The 8,029-nt window shown below is 61.2% G+C and overlaps 1 pseudogene, besides 2 other annotated features; it reads left to right on the top strand.

Annotated features, from left to right (window-relative positions):
* Positions 876-1,005: an enhancer, noted in NCBI's record as "active region_10217". NCBI's record gives its function as "activates an Ori minimal core promoter by ATAC-STARR-seq in GM12878 lymphoblastoid cells {active_cell/tissue: GM12878}" and the evidence as "EXISTENCE:reporter gene assay evidence [ECO:0000049][PMID:35858748]".
* On the top strand, positions 1,171-3,901 carry TPSP2 (tryptase pseudogene 2; annotated as a pseudogene).
* Positions 3,820-4,414: an enhancer, noted in NCBI's record as "H3K4me1 hESC enhancer chr16:1335831-1336425 (GRCh37/hg19 assembly coordinates)". NCBI's record gives its function as "activates a minimal SCP1, AML or CMV promoter by ChIP-STARR-seq in naive H9 embryonic stem cells {active_cell/tissue: H9 hESC(naive)}" and the evidence as "EXISTENCE:reporter gene assay evidence [ECO:0000049][PMID:30033119]".

The following is an 8,029-nucleotide window of genomic DNA, read 5'->3' as shown; positions in this document are numbered from 1 at the left end:
TGCATCTGCATCGGCCCCACCGTGTCTTCCTCTGGGAGCTGCGGCTCCTCGGGTCGGCTGTGATGCAACGTGGGCAGGGGCGGGGGCTGGGGGTTGCATTGGGTAATGCCTGCGGCTACCGCTGTCTCCTTCATCTCTGTCTGCAGCTCTGTGTCCAGCAGGGCCAAGAAGGGCATTGGGTGAGGCTGAGAGCAGCCAGGGGGGTCTCCACAGGGGAACCGGCACCGGGACAGTCACCTCCAGCAGCATCCTGATGTTCTGGGGACACTGGTGCTGGGGGGTCAGTGGGGAAGGGCTCCTGGGTCCTCATGACCCTCTCCCTTGGGTGAGCACAAAACACCATGGCACTTTGGGGTCTTGGAAACAGACTAAAGGGGATGTCAAGTCCTCATTCCTTGGAGCTGCTGACGAGTCCAGAATGGGTCATGTTTTCTTGCCCCGACCCCAGCACCTCAGGGCAGCGGAAGGTCCAGAGAGAGGTCGGGGACCGGGGCCGCTCCTTGCATCCTGGGCTTGTGTCTGTTGCCCCCTGGCTGGTGACTTGCACTCTCCTGGAGCTGGTTCTTGCAGCCGAGGCCGTCACGGGGGTAAGGGCACTTGGGGTTATTTCGGGGGGGTGGACGTTTTGGGCCAAAGAGGAGAACAGGCTCCAGGCACCGAGAAGTGAACCCTTCATTCCCAAGGACGGTGGGTGTCCCAGGTGAGGGTGAGGGAGGAGACCTGGCCGGAGAACGGAACGGCTGTCCTTTAACACGTGTGTCCCTCCCTCCCTCCCTCCCTCCCTCCCTCCCCCCTCCCCCCCACTCCCAGCTGGGATGTCGCTGCTGCTTCTCTTCGTGGTGTTGACCATTTCTCAGACCTCCCCCCGCCCCTGCAGGTCAGGTGGCCCTGGTTCACACACTGCACTTCTGAGCCCCAGACCCAGTCCCGCCCAGTGGAACTCAGCGCCTGGCCCCACCTGCTGTCAGCACTCTGAATGTGCCCAGGAGGGGGCTGCCCCGCCCACCCACTTCCTCTGTATGAGAGATAAATGGGCTCCCAGAGATGCCAGGGAGGAGGCAGAGAGACCTGGGGCACGAGTATGCCGCCCACTCCGAACCCCCCTCTCCATTCCCAGACCCCAGCTGGGGCTCAGATCGCCTCACCCCAGGCCCCGGCTTTCTCCCCACATATGCTGTGGCTACTGCTCCTGACCCTCCCCTGCCTGATGGGCTCTGTGCCCAGGAACCCAGGCGAGTCCGCCCCACCCAATGCCCCTGCTGCCCAGGACCCCCTCCTTGCCCTGCCCCGGGCTCAGAGTGCCAGCCCTGGGGTGGGTGGGGACCATCTGATTGCCGGTCTCTCCTGGTGCCCCTGAGCTCTGGGAAGACCCTCGTCCGTCCCCCTCATGAGCCCGGCACGGGGCGTGAGCTGGTGGGCATCACTGGGGGCTGCGACGTCTCGGCCAGGAGGCACCCCTGGCAGGTCAGCCTGAGGTTCTACAGCATGAAGAAGGGTCTGTGGGAGCCCATCTGTGGGGGCTCCCTCATCCACCCAGAGTGGGTGCTGACCGCCGCCCACTGCCTTGGGCCATGAGTGGAGCCTGCTGTCCCCTCGGCGGGTGGGAGTGGGGGTGGGGACGGGCAGGTGTCCTGTGTGCCGGGGGCCCCTCCCAGGATTCAGGGAAAGCCCCGGTCCTGAGCATCTGGCCTTACTTTGAGAGGTGCCCGTTCCTCTCTCCAGGGAGGAGTTGGAGGCTTGCGCGTTTAGAGTGCAGGTGGGGCAGCTGAGGCTCTATGAGGACGACCAGCGGACGAAGGTGGTTGAGATCGTCCGTCACCCCCAGTACAACGAGAGCCTGTCTGCCCAGGGCGGTGCGGACATCGCCCTGCTGAAGCTGGAGGCCCCGGTGCCGCTGTCTGAGCTCATCCACCCGGTCTCGCTCCCGTCTGCCTCCCGGGACGTGCCCTCGGGGAAGACCTGCTGGGTGACCGGCTGGGGTGTCATTGGACGTGGAGGTCAGGAGCAGGACCACTTGGGTGGGATGTGGAGAGATGACCCGGAATGTCGGTGCAGGCCTGGGCTCCAGACGCGTCCTGGATGGCTTCCTGCCGCTGCCGAGACGGATGGCCACAGGCCAGGTGGCTCAGAGCAGCAGGAATGTACTATCTCACGGCTCTGCAGGCGGAACGTCCACACTCCAGGCGTGGGCAGGGTTGGTTCCTTTCAGAGGCCCTGAGGGAGGGTCCGTTCCATGCCTTCCCCATGCCCCTGGGCTTGCGGTCGTGTTTCTCCAGGTTCCCCTCTCCTTCCTCCTCTACGGACACTGGGTGCTGTATTTATGGTATTTATGGTGTCTCTAATCTAACTGACCTCATCTTAATTCCATCTGCAAAGGTCCTTTTCCAGATAAGGTCACAGTGACAAGTTCTGGGGTTATGGCGTAGGGGTGCCCCTGCCCACCTCCCAACAGGCACTTTGTGAGTTAACTCCATCCTCAGCGTCACCCTCAGTTGCCTGCTGTTCCTTTGCATCAGAGAAACCGTGAACTAAGGGAGGTCGGGAACTCCTGGGCCCCGCAGCATCAGCACCTGGAGCGAACCGTCTCATTCCCACCACAACACAGTCCAGGGGGAGTCCTGGTCCCATGCTTTTCCCAAATAGTTTCTTTTTTAAAAAATTTTTTATTTAAAAACTTGTTTTTGAGGCAGGGTCTTGCTCTGTCACCCAGGCTGGAGTGCAATAGTGCAATCACAGCTCACTACAGCCTCGAACCCCCAGGATCAAGTGATCCTCCCACCTCAGCCTCCCGAGTGGCTGGAACCACAGGCGCGAGCCACCACGCCGGGCTTTTTTTTCTTTTTGTAGGGATGAGGTTTCGCTGTGTTGCCCAGGCCGGTCTCAAACTCCTGGGCTCAAGCGATCCTCCCACCTCAGTCCTCCAAGCGTTTAATAGCTGGGACTACCAGTGTGTGCCACCACGCCTGGCTAATTTTATTTTATTTTATTTTATTTGAGACAGAGTCTCTCTCTGTCATCCAGGCTGGAGTGCAGTGGTGTGATCTTGGCTCACTGCAACCTCCGCCTCCTGGGTTCAAGTGATTCTCCTACCTCAGTCTCCTGAGTAGCTGGGATTATAGGCGTCAGCCACCATGCTCGGCTAATTTTTGTATTTTAGTAGAGATGGGGTTTCACCATGTTGGCCAGGCTGGTCTGGAACTCCTGGGCTCAAGTGATCCACCCGCCTCGGCCTCCCAAAGTGCTGGGGTTTCAGGTGTGCGCCACCGCGCCCGGCCCCTAGTCATTTCTAAGAGTGAGTCCTGAGGTTCCAGGCTCCTGTGCCCAGGACTGCAGCCTTGGGGCTCACCCCCTGGCCAGGGAAGGCCCAGCTCTGAGCGAATTGTATGCCTCAGCTCTGGACAAAACGAGAAGCTGCAGCCTTGTCCCCGCCAGGCCCCTGCGCCTCACCTCGCATCTCCTTGCAGAACTACTGCCCTGGCCCCTCAGCTTGTGGGAGGCGACGGTGAAGGTCAGGAGCAACGTCCTCTGTAACCAGACCTGTCGCCGCCGCTTTCCTTCCAACCACACTGAGCGGTTTGAGCGGCTCATCAAGGACGACATGCTGTGTGCCGGGGACGGGAACCACGGCTCCTGGCCAGTGAGACCCCAGACCCACCTGTCTCTCCCCTCCTAGGGGGGACACATGGGGAGGCACATGGGGAGCCCTCGCTGAGCGCCATCTCTCCCCACAGGGCGACAACGGGGGCCCCCTCCTGTGCAGGCGGAATTGCACCTGGGTCCAGGTGGAGGTGGTGAGCTGGGGCAAACTCTGCGGCCTTCGCGGCTATCCCGGCATGTACACCCGCGTGACGAGCTACGTGTCCTGGATCCGCCAGTACGTCCCGCCGTTCCCCAGACGCTAGCTGGGGTGCAGTGGGGTCTGCATGATCCAGGAGGGCCCGTCTTCCTTGTGGACACCCCTGCTGCTCCCCCGTCTCAGCCTCACCCTCCCGCAGATCCCTGCCCCGAGACCCTTCTGCTCCTCTCGGTCTCTCAAGGCTCTGTGTTTCCCTGCCAGCAGGGGGCTCGGGGAGCCGGGTAGGGGCCCTCAAAGATGAGTCGGGAGTGGAAACAGAATCCCAGAAATCCTAGACGGCTGCTTGTGACTTGACTCCATTAAACAGTGTGGAAACCGCTCCGGGTCTGTGGTGTGTGTCTGGACTGTGGGAGCAGCTGGGGGTCACAGAGTGTCCTGGCACTCTCAGGCCAGGCAGGAGAAGAGGGATGGGCCCCAGGGCTGGGAGGGGACGGCTTCCTTCCGTCCCCCCCTCCACGGCCCAGGTCTGTCAGCGCCATTGACATTGGAGTGTCAGTCCCAGGCTGGCGGACTTCTCCCTCCCTCTGCTTTCCAGAGCCACCTCCTCCTAGAACCCCCGGGTCCTGACCCACCACCAGGGTCCTCCTGGTCCCACAAGATGTGGCCCTGAGAGCAGGTGGCACAGTGTGGGGGTCCCGGTGCCCATGGGGCCCGGTTCTTTCTCCCGCTGCTCTGGGCCCCTCGACTCCCGGACAGTGTTTCCAGTCAACTCTAGACTTCCTCCTCCTTTTCTGGCACAAACTCCTCTCTTTTGGATTTCAAAAGTCGTAAGTCAAGATTCTCTGGTTTGCGTTCTGCAAATGTGACCCCAGAGTCCCAACCCCAGACATGCTTCCTACAGGGGCTGCGTGGGCCTGGGAAGCAGGGGTCCCCTGGGTGCCTCCGGATTTTCTGGCTGTGACACGTCCTGCTGGTCACCCTGGACACCTGGCCTGGGGCACAGGGAGGTGCCTCTGAGTGCCCGGAGCCTGAGATTCTTGGGGGTGCTGGTGGAAGTAGAGGGTCCTGGAATAGTGGAGAGGGCCCTGGGGTGGTGGAGAGGGTCCTGGAATAGTGGAGAGGGCCCTGGGGTGGTGGAGAGGGCCCTGGAATAGTGGAGAGGGCCCTGGAGTGGTGGAGAGGGCCCTGGAATAGTGGAGAGGGCCCTGGAGTGGTGGAGAGGGCCCTGGAATAGTGGAGAGGGCCCTGGGGTGGTGGAGAGGGCCCTGGGGTGGTGGAGAGGGCCCTGGAATAGTGGAGAGGGCCCTGGGGTGGTGGAGAGGGCCCTGGAATAGTGGAGAGGGCCCTGGGGTGGTGGAGAGGGCCCTGGGGTGGTGGAGAGGGCCCTGGGGTGGTGGAGAGGGCCCTGGAATAGTGGAGAGGGCCCTGGGGTGGTGGAGAGGGCCCTGGGGTGGTGGAGAGGGCCCTGGAGTGGTGGAGAGGGCCCTGGGGTGGTGGAGAGGGCCCTGGAATAGTGGAGAGGGCCCTGGAGTGGTGGAGAGGGCCCTGGAATAGTGGAGAGGGCCCTGGAGTGGTGGAGAGGGCCCTGGAGTGGTGGAGAGGGTCCTGCAATAGTGGAGAGGTTCCTGGGGGTGGTGGAGAGGGCCCTGGGATGGGGACAGCACAATGGGGAGGGGTGGGCAGCTCAGGGCCCCCATCTGTAACCTGGCTGGTCTCTACCTGACTCCAGGCTCCACACCGGCCCCTTGTCCCCTGGGAACCTCTGGGACAAATAGCTTTAGTGGAAAGAGTCTGCTGTCTGTCCTGAGTCGGGCCGTGGGGTCCTGTCCCCCTATCTTGGGCTGCATTGGCCTCATGCTGGGTGGGGTTGGTTGTGGCTCCTTGGCTCTGCGGTGATGCAACATGGTGGCCGGGTCCTGGGGCTGGGGTGCAGTTGAGCGACGCTCTGATTAATCTCTGTTTGAACCCAGAGCTCAGAAGCGGGTGCTGGGGCTGCTGAGCCGGCAGAGCAGGGGTGTCCAGAAAGGCAGGCGGGGGGCCACGTCAGGGCCGGAGAGCCACTCCCTCCCCCATCACCATCTGTGCACGGCCTGTTGGAGGTCAGCCCCACAGAGCTGGCATTCCCTGCGGGCATCCTGGGGCTGCCCTCCTGTGCAGGCCCCAAGAATCTCAGGCAGAGCTCTGCTTGGCAGGACCTGCCCCCATGCTTCAGTCCCCTCCCATCAGTGCCAAAATGTCACTTTGGGAGCCACGCGGCCATTCAAAATCTGAAGGCTCAACAGCTGATCTCCCTCCCATGATGCGGAGAAATCTTGGAGACAGCTGGAGCTTCTGCCCAGAGTCAGCTCCCGGGGGCCTCTCAGGTCATTTCCTCCCCAGCTCCACACCCCACTCCCTCCAGATTCAGTGGGAAGAGGTGGGTCACGGAGGGGTGCACAGACACCCCCCTACACCCTGGGCATGGGAGAAAGAAAGCCCCTTCCCCACTCCTGCAGGCCATGCCCCTCAGCTCAGACCCCTGCTGTGGTCCGAAGATTTGTGCTCCCCCCAAATCCAGATGTTGAAGCCCTAACTCCCAGTGTGATGGGATCAGGAGGTGGGTGCTTCGGGAGGCGAACAGGGCACTCATGCCCTTAGAGAAGGGACCCCCAGAGAGTTCACTCATCCCTCCTAGTACTGGAGGACCCAGAGATAAGGCACCGTTTATGAACCAGGAGATGGGTCCTCCCCAGACCCCAGCCACGCTGGCTCCCTGACCTTGGACCTCCATTCTCTGGGGTCATCAGGAATGAATCCCTGCTGTGTGTAAATAGCCCGGTTGTGGGCTGTTGCAGCCACCGGAGCCCCTTTGGGCACGGGTGACCCAGGCCTCCTCACAGGCCAGGCGAGGTGTCTCCAGGAGGTCTTTGGTGACAGGAAGTCCTGGGGCTGAGCCGGCTTCCTGGGGCGGGGGAGGGCACCACACAGGGAAAGAGCCCGAAATTCTCCCGCCCACTCCATGAGAGGAGCCGGGCACCACGGCCACAGGTCGAGAGAACAGGGAGATCCGCAGAGGCGGACGGAAGATTTGTGGGGCCCGGGGGAGGGGGTGACAGGGATGGGAAGCGACAGCCACCAGAAGGGTGTGGGCTTTTCAGGGCGATAAAAATGTTGTAAAATTGGGAATGGTGACAGCCGCAAGCTGTTGAACCCTTTAAATGGGTGAATTGTAGGTTTTTGTGAACTCAATCTCAATAATGCTGTTTAAAAAACCCAGATAAATATGAAAAAATAAAAAAGAGGCCGGGCACAGTGGCTCACACCTGTCATCCCAGCACTTAGGGAGGCTGAGGCGGGCAGATCACCTGAGGTCGGGAGTTCGAGACCAGCCTGGCCAACATGCAGAAACCCCGTCTGTACCAAAAATACAAAATTATACAGGCGTGGTGGCCCGTGCCTGTAATCCCAGCTACTCAGGAGGCTGAGGCAGGAGAATTGCTTGAACCCAGGAGGTGGAGGTTGCAGTGAGCCGAGATCATGCTATTGCACTCCAGCCTGGGCAACAAGAGCAAAACCCCGTCTCAAAAAAATAAAATAAAATAAAAATAAAAAAGTCCTCATTTCCCCAATTCTTTCACAACTGCAAAACCACAACATGAACCCCTTGAGAGGTCTCCTGATCACATGGGCCCACACACAGCCCAGCCTCCCGGGCACTCTCCCTGCACATCGGGTGTTTGAGGGGCCTGCTGATCATATGCGCCCACACAGCCCAGCCTCCCGGGGAACCCTCTCTGTACATTGGGCCCCAGGGTCTTCCAAAGGACAGTCACCAGGGCCCTGTCCTCCCGAGGCAGGGCCTGCGGCAGGACCATCCTGAGTGTGTGTGGTTATTGGAGTGTGGGGAGTCCCCCTGAGGGGTCTTGGCAGGGGTGGAGTCTCTCTGTTCAGGCCGTCACTGGTTTGGGTGTGGTCCCGTGAACCCCAGCGTGGGTGGGGCCCAGCAGCGAGGGAAGGCACTCACAGGTCGTGGCCAGGACACTGGCGCCCACTGGCGTCCTCCACCCTGGTCCCTCACCTCCCAGGTTCAGTGATCGGAGGCCTCTCCCAGGAACAGGGAACTCCCTCCGGTCATGGTGACAGTCCTTTTTTTTTTCTTTTGAGACGGAGTCTCACTCTGTTGCCCAGGCTGGAATGCAGTGGTGCGATCTCAGCTCACTGCAACCTCCGTCCCCCAGGTTCAAGTGATTCTCC

This window comes from Homo sapiens, chromosome 16 (genome assembly GCF_000001405.40).
Source record: "Homo sapiens chromosome 16, GRCh38.p14 Primary Assembly".
NCBI lineage: Eukaryota > Metazoa > Chordata > Mammalia > Primates > Hominidae > Homo > Homo sapiens.
Note: the sequence above shows the minus strand (reverse complement) of the source record. Positions and strands in the feature narration are given on the sequence as shown.